The sequence below is a fragment of the Homo sapiens genome, chromosome 17 (genome assembly GCF_000001405.40).
Source record: "Homo sapiens chromosome 17, GRCh38.p14 Primary Assembly".
Taxonomy (NCBI): Eukaryota; Metazoa; Chordata; class Mammalia; order Primates; family Hominidae; genus Homo; species Homo sapiens.
In genome coordinates, this window is record NC_000017.11 from 68,291,982 (window position 1) to 68,310,846 (window position 18,865).

The 18,865-nt window shown below is 47.1% G+C and overlaps 1 protein-coding gene across 42 annotated transcripts in view, besides 1 other annotated feature; it reads left to right on the forward strand.

The window, feature by feature from the left end:
* The window catches only part of ARSG (arylsulfatase G), a 192,850-nt gene that overhangs the window by 32,812 nt on the left and 141,173 nt on the right, over window positions 1-18,865 (forward strand). For 32 of the 42 annotated variants that reach the window (XR_007065287.1, XM_047435644.1, XM_047435647.1 and 29 more), the window contains exon 2: window positions 14,962-15,730. Coding sequence is in view for 41 of the 42 variants with exons in the window: in XM_047435644.1 (XP_047291600.1) it covers window positions 15,513-15,730 (218 nt within the window). In the remaining variant the exon portion in view is untranslated. Of the gene's footprint in view, window positions 1-153; window positions 287-4,135; window positions 4,555-14,961; window positions 15,731-18,865 lie in introns of those variants that run through there. The other 10 variants (NM_001352902.2, XM_047435640.1, XM_017024360.3 and 7 more) reach the window with 5 other exon arrangements.
* Window positions 372-601: an enhancer, noted in NCBI's record as "active region_12644". NCBI's record gives its function as "activates an Ori minimal core promoter by ATAC-STARR-seq in GM12878 lymphoblastoid cells {active_cell/tissue: GM12878}" and the evidence as "EXISTENCE:reporter gene assay evidence [ECO:0000049][PMID:35858748]".

Sequence of the window (18,865 nt, forward strand, 5' to 3'; positions counted from 1 at the left end):
GCGCGGCGCCTGAGTTCCTCCTGCAGCGCCCACTTCCCCCAGTTTCGTCAACTCGCGCACCCCCACAGTTCCCCTTCCGGCAGTGGGGAGGGAGTGTCGCAGTGGGCCCCAGGGAGCGAGCGGCCGGGCCGCTGCGGGTGCCTTGCTTCCCCCACTTTGCTGCACCGGCAGCAGCGGCAGCAACAGCATCCGCGTTGCGCGAAAGGAATGTGAGCAGCCGGGCTGAGTCAGCATCCCCGGCCCGGGGCGCGCGCGCACCCTCCAGGCAGTGGCGGCGTCGGCACAGGTGCATGGCTCCCATACCCGCGGGGAGCCCTCTGTAAGGGACCTGGAGGTTTAGACAGTCCGTGCCCCTCATCCCGTAGTCCCCGACCCCAAGGTCACCGTGAACTAAGCGGATGATGCACGCGAAATCTCAGGAGCTCCTCATGGGGACAAAGCATGTGTCAGATCCTAGACATTTCAGAGCCTGCGGGGGCGCAAACTTAGCTTCTTGGTCTCTACCTCACATCCCGAGGGCAAATTTGGAAACTGCTCGGAAGCAAAGGCCATGTTATTTGCATTCGTATGCAGACTTTGGCGCCGGCTGCTGCCTTCATTGGGGTTCGGAGAATGTGGTTCTGATGTCAGAAACTCAAGAGAGCCTAGTTTGGGAGTGCATGCACGGAGGGTCGCCACCGGGAGGAGTCGGCGATCTGAATTTTAATAAAAATCCTTCCTTGCTCGCTGAGTTCTCTCACCATTTTGGGATAGGCTCTCCTGAGTTAAATGCCATCCTTTGCCGTTGACAAGTTCTGGTTGTGTAAGTGGGGAGAAGATTCGTTGGTACAGGGTGCCTTGTATGGCCAGTAGTGTACAGCCAAGGGGCCGCTGAGCAGCTTTGCAACCTTGTAGGCGTAATTTAACCTCGTAGAGCGTTAATTTCTCCAGATCTGTAAAATGGGGATGGAGGTGGTATTCCCAGAATTGGAGGGTTTAATTTATGGTACTTGTAAAGTGCGGATCGCAGTGACTGGCATTTGGTAAGGCCTCAGTACCCATTAGCTCTTGCTGCTGTTACGATTTATGCTTTACCAAGGCCAATTAATTGCTGACTCCAACACACTCCCTGTGAGAGAGAGCCCTTTTTTGAGTTGTTCTTCAAAGGATCCATATATAATGATATTTAGAAACTGATTTGAACACTTCATGCTAATGCAGGGCTGCCTGTAAGATAATCTTTGATATTTAGGATCTTACACTTTAATACTTAGGACCTGTTACTGTACTCTATATGGAAATATCATGTGCAATATGACAGCATATTCTGTATGTCTTAGGAACCTAAAGGTGCAGCCAGCCATTTATACCTGAGTGACTCGAAGCAAGTCACATAAAATCTCTGTACTTCAGTCTCTTGATTTAAAAAATGACTCAAATTATACCTAAATCCTCAGGAGTGAATGAATGATTGGAAAAATCACATCTGAATGTTTGAGCAAGTGAAACCTGGCTTTTGGGGAGCATGATTCTAATAATAATAATAATAATAATAATAGATTTTTGTTACTAATGTGTTACTATTCTTATATTTTATTAATATTAATCTTTTTTAAATGTTTGCTTTGTCCTCAACACTGCATTAAGTGCCATACATGTAATGCAATGTTAACCGCATCAGTAACCTTCTGTAGTTGACACTCATTATTCCCATTTTACAGATGAGGAAAGTGGAGGCACTGAGCACTGGAGGGATTGACCTAAGGTTACACCATGTTTATAGATACACACTAGCACTTTTTACCACTAGAGCTCATCCAAAGATGACATTTGCCATCTGTGTTTGAATAATGGAGAGGTAGCTGGAAACCCAACCTACGCACAGCCTTGCTAGTCACAAAAAAGTCACGCAACATGACTTTTGCCCACCCTAGTTAGAGGCTGGCTTCACCTTGTTCCCTCAATCCTAGTGAGACCAAGCGTGAAAACCCCTGCTTTTTTAACTTCTCCAGAGAAAGCACTGCATTGCCATGCTAATCAACGCCCCCTTGCCCCCAAACAAAACTAACTCTGTTTAGTTCTAAATAAGAACAAAAGAACCTTTGGAGTCTGGAGTACAGGACCAGAAAAATCAGGAAATCAAGTGAAGGGCTCAGCTCCCCTCTTAGCCTCTCCTGTTGTGTCTGCCTGATCCCAAGTGGCAGGCAGAGCCCCCTCTCGGCTTTCCTTTACAGTGGGCAAGACCATCATGATGCCCTTAAGAAGACCCCCAACATCTTCTTGGGGAAAAAGTTGGCTCTTCAGAGCTGTCCCCAAGGCTCCCTCTTTTAGCCCTCTTGCATAGGGTCATTTGCATGAGAACAGATTCCTTTGTGTAAAGTTGGCCTGCCTGTTCTCTGTCCACGTTTATAGTCCTTCAAGTCTTCGTGTTGGGTTGCTAGGCAGATATGACCCTGGCTTGCAAATAAGCTCACTGCATTTACCAGCCTGTGAGAACTTCAACTTGGGTAAGTAGACTGAAAGGAATCTGGTCTGGACCTCTGGGAAGAGGGTCCCGCAAGCCTGCTTTTGGGGGCTGACTCTTCAGGGCAGCCATCAAAGGGGGAGAATATGTGAAGGGGGCTTCCATGGGAGGCTTCGATGGCCCACCCACCCTTCCATTCTTCCTCTTCCAGTCTCTGTTCCACCCACCATGCTCCCACCCAGGGGCTTGTGTTCTGGGCAAGTGACTTGTATGCCACTGAAGCAATTTCTTGCTTTAAAACTTTAATATCTGCTTCTCCAATTGGCCAGGAACTTCACACACTCTGCCATCTAGCAACAGTGAACCGATGGTACAGGTAGTTCTGCTAGGTTTATTTTGTGATTTGGGTTCCTCCCCCGCAGCACCCCGCCAAATTTCACAGTTTGTAGGAAGGCAGGGCCCTTCAAACTGGGAAACACACACTTCTGGGAGAATTTAAAGATTTGCCAAGGGGTTCTGAGGCACAGATAGTGATGACGATGATAATAATAATACTACAGAGTTGTGTGCATGGCTTAGTACAGTTGCTAAGTTAACTGAATTAACACGTGCAAGGGGCTTAGCACTGGGATTGGCTCATGGTCAGGTTCCCTAACTCTTGGCTGCGACTCTTTCAACCTGTGAGTCCTGGGGGATTGAGGAGGATGGCGATCAGGGAAGCCTTCAACTGGCAGAGAGGACCTTGGGAGAACTGGCAAGGGGTGCTGAGCCAAGGGAGAGGTGAACAGCATGAGAAGAAGGTAGGAGGTAGGTGAGGCCATTCTGTATTTGGGGACAGTGAGGTCACCTTCCCACTCGTGTGTGTGGGCGGCCGATGATTGATTTCTGTCATACCTGTTACCATTTGGTGCAGTATCGATGTATCGTTGGTGTCTGTCATTAACTCTGAAGTAACTTTTACTTGATCAGTACTGAATTTCATTCCTAGGCTTCTCAGTCTTCATAGTTGACTGCTCCTGTAGTTTTGCCATTTATTACTGCTTAAAAATTAAAAAAAAAAATAGAGAACATAGCCTCCGGGAGGCTTCTATAAATTATCTCAAGCCTGTTGCAAAAGTCCTAGAAAACAAACCCAGGCTGAGTGTGATAATCCTAGTGCTTTTGGCATGAAGGCAGGAGGATTGCTTGAAGACCAAACGTTTGAGACCAGCCTGGGCAACACGGCAAGACACCACATCTAAGACAAATTTTTTTTTTTTTTTTTTTTTTTTTTGAGATGGAGTCTTCCTCTGTTGCCCAGGCTGGAGTGCAGTGGCGCGATCTTGGCTCACTGCAACCTCTGCCTCCCGGGTTCAAGCAATTCTCCTGCCTCAGCCTCCCAAGTAGCTGGGACTACAGGTGTGTGCCACCATGCCTGGCTAATTTTTGTACTTTTAGTAGAGACAGGGTTTTACCATGTTGGCCAGGCTGGTCTCGAACTCCTGGCCTCAGGTGATCCACCCACCTCAGCCTCCCACAGTGCTGGGATTATAGGCATGAGCCACTGCTCCGGCCTAAAAAATATATATTTTTAAAAAATTAGCTGGGTGTGGTGGTGCTGTCACACCACTGCACTTCAGCCTGGGCAACAGAGTAAGACCCTGTCTCAAACCAACCAACCAACTCCAAATCTCAGAACAAAATTATTTAAATCACATTACATTTAGGAGTGAATGCACGTCACATTAAACTGTGTGACACAGTTGTGGGTCGTGGGATCTCATTGGCAATATTGGGAAGGGCTGTGTGTGGGACCAGTGGATTTTGCCCCGATCGAGTCACGCTTTCTTCAGATAGTTGTTGAAGTTGTTCCACCTGCCCTGTTCCTCAAGGCCCAATGAATAAAAACCTGCTCTCCTGCTGTGTTTCTTGCCTAAAGGGAGATGCTGACTTTCCCTATCTTGTCTAAACAGGTACCTCCTGTCCTGTGTTTCTAGATTCCCAGGAACAATAGGCAATGTTAAGCTTCCATTTTAACCCTTTAGGAGCAGTGCCTCCGTGAGTTTCCAGATGGCTAGGGGACGATGCGAAGAAACTACAAGGATGCTGCAGGATTGTGTTGTGGGCAAATGGTGAGGAGGGGCCCCGCCCTGCTGTGATCGGTGGGGGCCTGTGGAGTTAGGTGAGCTTTGTAGGGATACACAGCAGGACTGGGTCCAGGGAGCATCCATCCCTCCATCCTTCCCTCCCATGCCCATCGTTCATCCGTCCATCCACCCAAGCGGCCTCTGCTCATCCATAGCCCACTCGTGAGCACTGACAACTGCTGTTGTCTCCCAGGCCACAAAACCACACCTCAGAGGATGTGGTTCCTTCTCTCATAGTGTGTATAGTTTAGTTCAGAAGACAGGACACATGCGATTGTTACGTAAAACAGCATTTCAACAAGTACAATTTTACAAGTGAGAATTACAAGTGAATGTCTTCTAAGAAAGAACTTAGAAAAGTCATCTAAGTTGAGGGGAATGATGAGATGAAGCTGGCAGGGCGAGGCAGAGCAGGCTGGGCTGTTGATGTTCATGTTACATGCACTCATCCAGCAAATATTGACTGAATACCTTCTGGGCCGGGTGCCGGAATTATGCAGTGCATAAACTATACAGAATGTCCCTGCCTTTACAGAGTTTCCGCCCTGGAGTTGTAGATCTTTCTTGCTTGAGCACCTAGCTAGCCAAGCATCCTGGACAAAGAGTTCTTTTGAAATGTTTCTGATATGGAAATGTAACTTCCATTTTCAATTAACATCAACAAAGGGGAGATTCCCCTCACACGCATCCTACATCTTGACCTCATATTGTTAAATTGTCCGAAACCAGATTTGCTGGAAGGCAGCATACTCCAAGGATGCCAGCTATTATTAGAGTCTGCTTGGCTGAAGGGACCTGGCTCAGGTTTAGCCAAGATGGCACAGATAGTCATGGGATTGTGTAACAAGGAACCATAGTTTGGAACGTTGAAAATGTAAACTGAAATCAGTCTTTATTTCCTCTTTGCCTTGTTTGTGACTATGGTGGCGTGTTTGTAGCTTCTGTCTTCTCTAGGTTCAGAAACCAGCATCAGAGCTTGCTTAACAAACAATTCTGGCAGATTCAGCCAGTAGCTGCAGGGAGTCTGGATTTTGCCATCTATACTCAGAATAGTTATGTTTTTATCTTTTTTTAAAATTAAAAAAATTTTTTTTCTAATAGAGATGGGGTCTTGCTATGTTGCCCAGGTTGGTCTGGAACTCCTGGGGTCAGGTGATCCTCCTGTCTCGGCATCCCAGAGTGTTGGGATTACAGGCGTGAGCCGCTGTGCCCAGCCATTATGTTTTATTTTAATGTTAGTAACGCTTTGGCTTGCATAGCACATTTTTAGTGTGTTCTCATATTTATTATCCCTTTATCCTCAAAACAATCAAGAGATGGACTAACAGTAGCCAATATTTCTTAGCACTTACTGAGAACTTGGGTTGGATTATTTCATTCTCACATTGTGTTTGGGGTTGAGAAAGTTTACTGTGACTCTTTTTTTTTTTTTTTTTTCCCCTGATATCTAATTCCAGGCCAAAACTCCATTTTTCAGGTAAGGGAGGAAACTGAGACACAAAGAGATTCTGTAACATATCCATGGTCACACAGCTGGCAAATCACTGCTGAATCCCGGATACATACTCCTCTGGAAATAACACATCTCAAAAGTCAATTCCCCAAAAGGCAAATTTGCTAAGTAACTGCTTCACTAAATTGTTTTTTTCCTAAATTTGGGTCTTACCCCTATTTCTGCCCCTACCTGAGCCTTGGCTTCAGAGATTCCTAAAACTTTAGGGGAATCTGTCTTGGGGTGCTCAGGATGCCATAATAAAATACCATGGACTAGGCTGGGCTTGGTGCCCCACATCTGTAATCCCAGCAATTTGGGAGGGTGAGGTGGGTGGATCACTTTGAGATCAGGAGTTCAAGACCAGTCTGGTGAAACCCTGTCTCTACTAAAAATATAAAAATTAGCTGGGCATGGTGGTGTGCATCTGTAGTCCCAGCTACTTGTGAGGCTGAGGCACGAGAATCACTTGAACCCAGGAGGTGGAGGTTGCAGTGAGCTGAGATTGCTCTACTGCCCTCCAGCCTGGGTGACAGAGCGGGATCCTGTCTCAAAAAAAAAAAAAAAAAAAAAAGAGAAGAACACTACTGTAGACTAACAACAGAAATTTACAAAAATACAGCCCAAACAACAGAAATTTATTGTTTACAGTTCTGGAGGCTGGCCAGTTTGGTTCCTGGTGAGGGCTCTCTTCCTGGCCTGCAGACAGCCACCTTCTTGCTGTGTCCTCACATGGCAGAGAGAGTGAGCAAGCAAGTTCTCTGATGTTTCTTCTTGTAAAGGCACTAATCCCATTATCTCATGACCTCATCTAAGCCTTATCACCCCTCCAAAGGCCTATCTTCAAATATCATCACACTGAGAGTTAGGGCTTCAACATACAAATTTTGGGGGCACACAAACTTTTAGTTTATAAAAACATATTTCATTGAGAAAGTAGAATGGATCCAGGGCAAGGATAAATCTACAAAAATAGAAAAGATAGTACAAAGCACTGTTTTTCTTAAGAGAAAGTTTCCTATTCTCATGCAAAAATGACAAAGGGAAAAAAATTGAACTTTTTTTTTTTTTTTTTTTTTTGAGACAGAGTCTCACTCTGTTGCCCAGGCTGGAGTGCAGTGGCACTGTGTTGGCTCACTGCAACCTCCGTCTCCTGGGTTCAAGCAATTCTCCTGCCTCAGCCTCCTGAGTAGCCAGGATTACAGGCGCCCACCACCACGCCCGGCTAATTTTTATATTTTTAGTAGAGATGGGGTTTCACCATGTTGACCAGGCTGGTCTCGAACTCCTGACGTCAGGTGATCTGCCCACCTCGGCCTCCCAAAGTGCTGGGATTACAGGCATGAGCCACCGCGCCTAGCTGAAAAAATGGAACGTTGACACGTAAACCACTGATCAGGCTGAACATGACAAGGGGAAAGATATGATGCATAAGGTGGGCCTGCCAAAAAAAAAATCGAACCTGGATCGGATCTCATCCTAGATCTACAAGCCAGTTTACCAGGAAAACGGGTCCAGGGAACATTTCAATAGAGGATACAATCAGCTAAATCCAAAATTTGAGAAATGTTACAGGGCAAACACCGTAATTTATTTACAAATCTATGCAGAGAAAGGAAGAGGGGAGCCATAAATGAAAAGAAAAGAGACACGTGAACCAAGTGCAGTGTGTTGTGAACCTTGTCTGGATACTGATTAGAACAAACCAACTGTTAAAAAAATACTGATGAGATAATGGAGGACATTTGAACTCTGATTGGATTTTTGATGATACTAACCAATTGTTAATTTTTAAAAGGAGGGTGTTATGGAATTGTAGTTATATAGTAAGAATTAACTTTTAGAGAATTGTACCAAAATACTTCTGGATAAAATTATATGATATTTGGTATTGCTTTTTTTTTTTTTTTTTAAGAGACAGGGTCTTGCTCTGTTGCCCAGGCTGGAGTGCAGTGACATGATCACAGCTCACTTGCAGCCTTGAACTCCTGAGCTCCAGCCATCTTCCCACTTCAGCCTCCCTAGCAGCTGGGACTACAGGCACATGCCACCATATCCAGTTATTTTGTTGTTGTTGTTGTTGCAGAGAGATGGGGTCTCGCTTTGTTGCCAAGGCTGGCCTCTAACCCCTGGCCGCAGGTGATCCTCCTGCCTCAGCCTCCCAAAGCGCTGGGATTACACGTGTGGCCCACCACGCCTGGCCTGGGGCTTATTTCAAAATAATCCAGCATATGTGGAGAGGGAGGCTAAGGGAAATTGAAGGAGAGAGCCAGCCTGACCATGTGTTGATAATTGTTGAATTGAAATGTTGGGTAAGTACATGTGAGTTTCTCAACTTTTGTGTGTTTGACAACTTCCATAATAAAATGTTTAATAAGTGATAAGTAAATACAGCTTTGTAAAAGGTTCTTAAAAATGTGGCAAACAGGCTTCCAGTGAGCGAATTTCAGACATTGACCTGGAGCTTTCTTCTTGATCATACCCCTCAGGATTTTTCTTCTCAAGTGGAGGATAGACTTTTAGAGGAAAGACGTTATTCAGAGGTCCATCTCCTCTCTCTGATCTGTGAGCGAGGACACAGATATAATTTCCGCAGGGCTACTGGGTTTTTAGATGCATGGCGTGATGCCACCTAGGCTCTCTCAAACTGGCTCCTGCAACATGGCTTTCTTCTGTGACAGTCTCAACAGGTGGTTCGAGCCTAAAACTAGGCAGGATGTCATATGCCCCCTGTGGATGGGTTTCCTGGCATCGTTGGGTTCACAGAAATGATATTGCCCGAAACAGTGTCTGGTGTGAGGTCTCCAAGCTTTAAAAAAAAAAAAAGCCACTTTGGGAGGCCAAGGTGGGTAGATCACGAAGTCAGGAGATCGAGACCATCCTGGCTAACATGGTGAAACCCCGTCTCTACTAAAAATACAAAAAATTAGCCGGGCGTGGTGGCGGGCGCCTGTAGTCCCAGCTACTCGGGAGGCTGAGGCAGGAGAATGGTGTGAACCTGGAAGGCGGAGCTTGCAGTGAGCCGAGATCGCACCACTGCACTCCAGCCTGGGTGACAGAGTGAGACTCCGTCTCAAAAAAAAAAAAAAAGCATTTTAATTACGTAAGTGAAATTGCTCTCCCAGGCTGGATAGAGGCATTCAAAGATGTCTTGTGCATCTTCTGTTGAGCTTAGACTACTACATCTTGGCCCCTACACTCTAAGAAAGCAGTCTTTCCAAGTTGGGCTAGCCTCAAAATTACATATTGGGGTCTATGGGCAAAAGCCTGGGACACAAGGATGTTTATTACATGTAGATAATAAATAACCCTTTGTCCTGGCTATCGTGGTAACTGGGTTTTCCTTTTCACCTGGATGGACTAGGGTGAGGCAACATGTAAGGAAGTGCTCACTGCCCAGGTGGTGCGAGTACAGGGTGGCTACCCGAGCAGAAGGGCCACCTCCTGACGTTTTGTGCCCTAGGCATTTTGCTTGTCTCGCTCTAGCACTGTCTCTCACCTGGACTCACCTGGACCCATGCAAGAGACTCCTAACTCAGCTGCTTCTTTCATCTGCTGCCCTGCGGGGCATTTGTGTATTCTCAACAGGGCAGGGATTCTGTTACAATGTAAACCAGAGCCTGCTGCTCTTGCTGAATCCCTCTGGCTTCCCATCTCTCGCAGCAAAAGCCTTTCTTTCCTCTCTGACTCTAATCCCTGCCCTTCCTTTCTCCATTGCTTCTGCAGTGGCTTCTTTGCCGCTCCTTGCTTGTGCCAGACCTCAGCCTTTCCCAGTTTCTCTGCCTTTCCTGCTTGGCTTCCTGATGGCTGCGTAGCTTCCTCCCTGACCTCACACAGATCCTTATCCAAATTGTGTTTTCTCGATGAGATTGTCCCAGACCACCCCCTTTAACTTTGCAGCCTCCATCCCATGCCTGAGCTCCTTCTTTGATGTTCTTCACGCTATTTACATTTTATTGATTTCATTTCTCCCCTCACTGTCAAAAAAGTAAGTGGTGTGAGGGCAGGGACTTTTGTCTGTTTCATTTACGGCTGTATGCACTATGCCTGGTTTAAAATCTGTCAGTCAGTACAAATTTGGTGGACAGATGACAGAATGCGTTGGGGAGTTGCTTCCGACAACACGTGAGCAGCTGATGCCCAAGGCCCCTTCTGACAGCCCCTGATGGCTCGTGGCCGCCAGCCAGCACACAGACCATGTTCTGATCTGGGGAGTAAAACAACAGCAGTCCACATCCCAGAGACCTGCTCCCCCCTGCTCTTTTGTCTTTTTTGGCCTCGGCTCATCAGATGCTTTTGTCTCTGGAAAACCAACAGAACCCTCTGCCAGAAAGGTCTGCCCGACCTTCTTGTTATTTCAGCTGTTTTCAAGGTTCTCTAGGAGGATGCTTGGCCACAGGGAGGCCCATGGGAAACGAGGGTCAGGTGATGAAGTGAGTGGCTCAGGAAGCCCAAGGACTTCAGCTCTGTGTTTTCAGACACTGCTCAGCAGATCTTCAGGTTGCTGCATTCCATTCGCTTCTCAGTGCTTCTGGCCCACAGCCTGCCTGTGGGTCATTTGGCTGTTTATCAGTACCTTTACCCCTAAGCAAGCCTGGAAACTGAAGGGAGGTCAAACTTGAGCACACTTAGCAGCCCTGCTTTAAAATGGGGGTCGTGGAGAAGAATAGGAATCATGGGTAAAGCTGATTGTCAACTAAAGTTCACTCTGCTCCTGCTTGGGGAGCATGAGACATGGGAAATTGTTTATGCTTGTGCTCAACAAGGATCTTTCACAGTCAGTTGTGCTCTGATGGAGCAGATGGGCCTTCGTTGTGGGATTTGTTGACTGACGTGGCCGAGTACCTTCTGCCCCAGTGGAAGGAGGGGTGAATGCTGTATTTGCCAAAGACTCTGCCTTTCTTTATAGCCAGGAGTGCTCCTTCCCTGTGTCTACTCTCCTTTCTGAGAGTGATGGAGAAAGAAAAAGCTGGCAAAATAACATCAGATAAGATCTGAGGGTAGCAAGTAAGGCCATTTTCTTTTCTTCCTTTGTTCTAGGGGCTAGATGCAATCAAATGCTTGGCTTATATAGCTGTATGTTTGGAGGTATTGTTTTCAGAGACAGGATCTTGCTCTGTTGCCCAGGCTGGAGTACAGTGGCACCATCATAGCTCGCCACAGCCTTGAACTCCTGGGCTCCAGTGGTCCTTCCACCTCAGTTTCCCAAGTATCTGGGATTGTAGATGTACACCACCATGCGTGGCTAATTTTTTAATTTTTTTGTAGAGATCAGGTCTCGCCATCTTGCCCAGGCTGGTCTCCAACTCTCAGGCTCAAGCAGTCCTCCCACCTTGCCTCCCAAAGTGCTGGGATTACAGGCATGAGCCACTGAGTCTGGCTATGGAACCATTTTCCTTATATTTTTGTTTCGTTTTATTTTTTGAGATGGAGTCTCACTCTGTCACCCAGGTTGGAGTGCAGTGGCGCAATCTCAGCTCACTGCAACCCCCGCCTCCCAGGTTCAAGCGATTCTCCTGCCTCAGCCTCCCAAGCAGCTGGGACTACAGGTGCACGCCACTATGCCTGGCTAATTTTTTGTATTTTTAGTAGAGATGGGGCTTCACCATGTTGACCAGGCTGGTCTTGAACTCCTGACCTCAGGTGATCTGCCTGCCTTGGCTTCCCAAAGTGCTGAGATTACAGGCATGAGCCACCGCACCCAGCCCCATTTTCCTTATAGCACTTGAGCTCAACGTTTGAGCTTAGATCTTAATCAAAGTCTGTACCTGGGCATCCATTCTTTGAGTGTCTGGTCTGCCTTTTCCATTTAGTTAACAAAAATGGGGAAAGGATTAAATGTTTCCCTGGAGGTGTGGGTGTGAAGAATAATGCAGTGGTCTGCTGGCTAGATTCGCTTATTTCCATTCTATGAACATTTTAAGTAATGATTCTCTTTGAAAATCCTCAATGGAATGTTTCATCATGGAACACTGAAGAAACACAATCTGTTTATTTATATTCCCACCTAAATTTTAGCTTCTTTCTTAAGTGAATTTTTTTTCCCTGAAGTCTTGTACATGGGATCCATTCTGAAATGGATTATTGACCAGGCATGAGGCCACTCTAGTGTTCCAAGCTAAGAAGCTTTAAGAGGAAAAGTCTCCTGTGTCTGTTGCACATGGTCAGAAGCCAGTAGAATGATCTCGGAATCAAGCAGCAGGTCCACAGGTGTTTGTTAACCACCCTCCTTGTGCTGAGGCTCTTTCTCCTGAAAAGGGAGATGCCTTTGGAGTCTTAAGATCAACAAATACCAGTTGAGTCTAATTGAGTTTGAGATAATACATCTCCTTTTGGGAAACAGAAGAATTTGCATTTCTGAACAATTGATTCATTGGCCTCCAGATGACATGACTGTTTACTTGGATTTCCTTTTAGTTTGATTAAGTACATATTTGCCCATTCTTTTGGTTTTTATCCCGGTCTTCCAAAATTTACATACCTCTAACCACCCCCATCCATGTGGATTGATCAATTGGGTTGGCTTGCAAGGATGTACAACTGGAAAAAGTGTCTGTCATAATCCCAGGCCTATCTTTTTTACACAGTGGTTCTCCTTTAATCTGCTCCATACACTGGATGTTCAACTGAAGCTTTGTTGTTGTTGTTGTTAATTTTAGATTTAAAAAATACAGATAAGGTCTCACTATGTTGGACAGGCTGATCTTGAACCGCTAGCCTCAAGTAATCCTTCCGCCTCGGCCTCCCAAAGTGTTGGGATTACAGGAATGAACCACAATGCCCAGCCAACTGAAATTTTTGTTTGGTCCACAATTTCAACTCTGTTCCTCCTTATTAAACTTGCAAATTGGCTGGATGTGGTGACTCATGCATGTAATCCCAGCACTTTGAGAGGTTGAGGTGGGAGGATCACTTGAACCCAGGAGTTCCAGACTGGCCTGGGCAATATAGTGAGATCCAGTCTGTACAAAAAGTAAAAAAATTAGCTGGGCGTGGTGGCATACACTTGTAATTCTAGCTACCCGGGAGGCTGAGGCAGAAGGATCGTTTGAACCCAGGAGTTTGAGATTGCAGTGAGCTGGGATCTGTCTCTTTAAAAATAAATACATAAATAAAATAAACTTGCAAATTTAGGGCTTTTAAGTGAACTAGAGCTAATCTAGTTTTATCCTTGGCTCCATTTGCAACCTGCAGCTTAAAGTATAACCTTCAATTCCCGTCTTTCAAAACTCAAGTCTGATTTGTCGTTTTTATTTGTCCACTGAAGTTGAGTCATCAGTTAGATTAAGCAGTTTCCTTTTTCTTCTTGCACTAGCCTCATGATGTTTTTGTTTTCCAGCAACTTTGCTGCTTAAAGTGTGATCCAAAGACGAGCAGTACAGGCCTCACATGGGCTTGTTAGAAATACAGATCCCAGGCCCAGCCTTACCTACTGAATCTGCGGTTTAATCAACATAAAATCCACAGCAGATTCATATGTACCTCCATGTGTAAGATGCACCACTGGTTGAACATGTCTTTAGATTTTCTTATTAAAATTACATGGCTAGGATGCAAAGGGACACATTTCCATGAAAAAAATTTTTTGAAATTTTTTCTAACATTTTATTATGAAAATTACAAACATACAGCAAAATTAAAAGAGTTCTTTAGTAAGCACCCATATATCTGCTACCTAGATTCTATTATTAACTTTTTAAAACCATTTCCTTTTCCCCCAGATTAACTTCTGTCAAGAATTTTGGCTGGGCCTGGGTGTGGTGGCTCACACCTGTAATCCCAGCACTTAAGGAGGCCAAGGCGGGCAGATCACTTGAGAGGTCAGGAGTTCGAGACCAGCCTGGCCAACATGGTGAAACCCCGTTTCTACCAAAAATACAAAAATTAGCTGGGGTGTGTTGGTGGGCACCTGTAATCCCAGCTACTAGGAGGCTGAGGCATGAGAATTTCTTTTTTCTTTTTCTTCTTTTTTTTTTTGAGATGGAGTTTTGTTCTTGTTGCCCAGGCTGGAGTGCAGTGGTGCGATCTCAGCTCGCCGCAATCTCTGCCTCCTGGGTTCAAGCGATTCTCTTGCCTCAGCCTCCCAAGTAGCTGGGATTGCAGGCATACGCCACCATGCCCGGCTCATTTTGTATTTTTAGTAGAACTGGGGTTTCTCCATGTTGGTCAGGCTGGTCTCAAACTCCCAACCTCAGGTGATCCGCCCGCCTTGACCTCCCAAAGTGCTGGGATTACAGGTGTGAACCACCGCTCCCTGCGAGAATTTCTTGAACCCGGGAGGCGGAGGTTTCAGTGAGCCGAGATTGTGCCATTGCACTCCAGCCTGGGTGACAGAGTGAGACTCAGTCTCAAAAAAAAAAGAATTTTAGCTGGTCATAGTGGCACATGCCTGTAATCCCAGCTATGTGGGAGGTTGAGGCAAGAGGATGACTTGAGCCAGGAGTTCAAGACTGGCCTAGGCAACGTAGCAGGACCCTATCTCCAAAAATTTTTTTAAATGTAGAAACATTAGGTTATAGCTTGACTGTTACAAATAACCATGTCTTGGTAATAAGGGTCTCACCTCTCCTTCTGGAATTCTCAGTGGCACACTGGGATTTAGCAGCATTGGGGGCTGGTCCTGGTCCCACCCAGAACACTGGGCCTCAATATCCTCATCTCTACAGTGAGTGGGTTGGCAGAGATCATCTCTAATGTTACTTCCAACCCTGTCGCTATAGGTCCATTGCGAATATTATTATCATCACTATTTTTCAGGTGGAGAAACTGATGAACCAGTTAAATATTTGAATAAAAACATCTGTTGGCATGGAAAAGTGATTATTTCCTAAGCTACTGAGTAAAACACAGCTGCACTGGCAGTTTTAACTCTGTTTTCTTGTCAATTTTTGTTCTTTCAGGAAACCTTACAGAAACATGAAGCCCTCAACCATCTGCTACTCAGTTATTCGGGGCTGACGGCGGCTTCTAGAACATCCAGGTGTTCTGCAGATGCGAGAACTCATCCTGTAGTCACCAGATGGAGTCCCAAACAGCCAAGCAGATGTAAGGCCTGTGCTGTGGCTCTGAGGCCCTGAATACAGAAGGGTCACTTTCTTAGTGGCCAAAGAGCAGTTGTTGACATTGATGTCTAATTATTGAACACGACCAGTCATTTTACTGAGCTGCGGTGAGGAAACACTGACCATAGAAGATCAAGCCAAATGAGGGATTGCAAATTTCCTGATTCTTTTGAATTAGGATTCCAGATGGGGGCCTCATTTCTACAGCCCCCAACATTCCTATAGCCGTTATCACTGCCATCACCACTGCCACCAGCATCTTCTTGCAGATTCCACCCCTGCTCCCCAGAGACTTCCTGCTTTGAAAGTGAGCAGAAAGGAAGCTCTCAGAAAAATCTCTAGTGGTGGCTGCCGTCGCTCCAGACAATCGGAATCCTGCCTTCACCACCATGGGCTGGCTTTTTCTAAAGGTTTTGTTGGCGGGAGTGAGTTTCTCAGGATTTCTTTATCCTCTTGTGGATTTTTGCATCAGTGGGAAAACAAGAGGACAGAAGCCAAACTTTGTGATTATTTTGGCCGATGACATGGGGTGGGGTGACCTGGGAGCAAACTGGGCAGAAACAAAGGACACTGCCAACCTTGATAAGATGGCTTCGGAGGGAATGAGGTGAGTCTTGAGATGCCAGGCCAGCCTTTCTTTGGATGTCTTACTCCCGTTCTTGAGAGGGGAAGGGGCCGTGCAAAGCACTTAAAGAGTCATTGATGGACCCATGCTGATTTAGTTAATTTATTAATTAATTTGGTTTGAAGCCAGCATAGCATCGTGAAGAAATCCAGCCATCTAGCACCCATCCATCTATCTAGTAACATTCATTATGTGTTAGGAGCTAGGAATACAGAGGTGAACAAGATAAAACATTTTTGCCCTCAAGTTATTCATTGTCTGGTAGAGAAGACAGGTTAAAAGGAAAGTAAGGGGCTAGGTACAGTGGCTCATGGCTGTAATCCCAATGCTTTGGGAGACTCAGGTGGGAGGTTCACCTGAGCCCATGATTTTGGGACCAGCTTGGGCAACCTGGCAAGATCCCACTTCTACAAAAAATAAAAGCAAATTAGCTAGCGGTGGTGGCACGCTCCTGTGGTCTCAGCTACTCGGGAGGCTGAAGTGGGAGTGTGTCTGGAATTGGTGGGTTCTTGGTCTCACTGACTTCAAGAATGAAGCTGCAAACCCTCGCGGTGAGTGTTACAGCTCTTAAGGTGGCACGTCTGGAGTTTGTTCCTTCTGATGTTCAGATGTGTTCGGAGTTTCTTCCTTCTGGTGGGTTCATGGTCTCACTGGCTCAGGAGTGAAGCTGCAGACCTTCACGGTGAGTGTTACAGTTCTTAAGGCGGTGCGTCTGGAGTTGTTCGTTCCTCCCGGTGGGCTCGTGGTCTCGCTGGCTTCAGGAGTGAAGCTGCAGACCTTCATGGTGAGTGTTACAGCTCATAAAAGCAGTGTGGACCCAAAGAGTGAGCAGTAGCAAGATTTATTGCAGAGAGCGAAAGAACAAAGCTTCCACAGTGTGGAAAGGGACCTGAGCGGGTTGCCACTGCTGGCTCGGGCAGCCTGCTTTTATTCTCTTATCTGGCCCCACCCACATCCTGCTGATTGGTAGAGCTGAGTGGCCTGTTTTGACAGGGTGCTGATTGGTGTGTTTACAAACCTTGAGCTAGATACAGAGTGCCGATTGGTGTATTTACAATCCCTGAGCTAGACATAAAGGTTCTCCAAGGCCCCACCAGACTCAGGAGCCCAGCTGGCTTCACCCAGTGGATCCCGCACCGGCGCTGCAGGTGGAGCTGCCTGCCAGTCCCGCGCCCTGCGCCTGCACTCCTCAGCCTTTGGGTGGTCGATGGGACTGGGCGCTGTGGAGCAGGGGGTGGTGCTCGAGGAGGCTCGGGCCGCACAGGAGCCCACGGAGGGGGTGGGAGGCTCAGGCATGGCGGGCTGCAGGTCCCGAGCCCTGCCCCACAGGAAGGCAGCTAAGGCTCGGTGAGAAATCGAGTGCAGTGCTGGTGGGCTGGCCCTGCTGAGGGACCTAGTACACCCTCCGCAGCTGCTGGCCCGGGTTCTAAGCCCCTCATTGCCCGGGGCCCGCAGGGCCAGCTGGCTGCTCCGAGTGCGGGGCCCGCCAAGCCCACGCCCACCCGGAACTCCAGCTGGCCCACAAGCGCAGCACGCAGCCCCAGTTCCCGCTCGCGCCTCTCCCTCCACACCTCCCTGCAAGCCGAGGGAGCCGGCTCTCGCCTTGGCCAGCCTAGAAAGGGGATCCTACAGTGCAGCGGTGGGCTGAAGGGCTCAAGTGCCACCAAAGTGGGAGCCCAGGCAGAGGAGGCGCCGAGAGCGAGCGAGGGCTGTGAGGACTGCCAGCACGCTGTCACCTCTCAGGAGGATCACTGGAGCCCAGGAGTTCAAGGTTGCAGTGAGCTATGATTGTGCCACTGCACTCCAGTGTGGGTCACAGAGCGAGACTCTGTCTCTTAAAAAATAAGTAAATAGGCTGGGTGCAGTGGCTCACGCCTGTAGCACTTTGGGAGGCTGAGGCAGGTGGATCACCTGAGGTCAAGAGTTCGAGACTAGCCTGGCCAACCTGCCGAAACCCTCTCTCTACTAAAAATACAAAATGTAGCCGGGCGCAGTGGCAGGCACCTGTGACCCCAGCTACTCGGGAGGCTGAGGCAGGAGAATCACTTGAACCTGGGAGGCAGAGGTTGCAGTGAGCTGAGATCGCACCACTGCACTCCAGCCTGGGCAATAAGAGTGAGACTCTGTCTAAAAAAAAATAAATAAAATAAAAAAGTAAATAAATAAAGAAAGAAAGGGAAATAAGAATTATAAGCAAATAGCTTCTGAGCCCACATCCAGAGTTTTTTGTTTGTTTGTTTGTTTTGTTGTGTTTTTTTTTTGAGATGGAGTTCCGCTCTTGTTGCCCAGGTTGGCGTGCAGTGGCACGATCTCAGCTCACTGCAACCTCCATCTCCCGGGTTCAAGCGATTCTCCTGCCTCAGCCTCCCGAGTAGCTGGGATTACAGGTGTGTGCCACCTGGGGAGAAACCCCAGAGATCGGGTTTCTCCATGTTGGTTAGTCTGGTCTCAAACTCCCAACCTCAGGTGATCCGCCCGTCTCGGCCTCCCAAAATGCTGGGATTACAAGCGTGAGCCACCACACCCAGCCCCAACATCCAGAGTTTTTGGAGAACAGAAGCGAGGGTGTGGAACCCAACCTGGGGTTTCAAGGGAGGAGATGGCCTTTGAAGAGCAAAAGAGAGTCTGTGAGGCGTGGGAGATGTGACTCACTTATTTATGAAAGGCGTGGCTTACACTTAAGGCATACTGAACTCTAAGGGACCACAAAAGAGGAGCCTATGCATCTGATGAGTTGAAGTGTTTAGAAAACAGCTATTGCAGATTTTTGTTAAAACACCCAGCTCCTTTCCCTTCTTAGATGGAGAACAAGCGTTAGAGCTTTCAGACTTCAGGATTTTCTTCTTGGGCTAACATTGGTCTGATTGTCCAGCTCGGATTCTGTCTGCACTGGGCGAAACTCCTCCATGTGGTTCGGGGGGAATCATTTCAGCTCACCGCTTAGGATGACGCATAGGGCATCTCCACAGAGTTTTGGCCACTTGCATCCTAGAGCTTGATGCTTTTCCTGAGATACGCGCCCTTGGTGGGTGGTAGTTTCTGCATCTGGTCTCACCCACTCCAGTTCTTCCTCACCTCCATCAAGGTGAACTTTGTAGAAACACTCTTCTGCTTCCA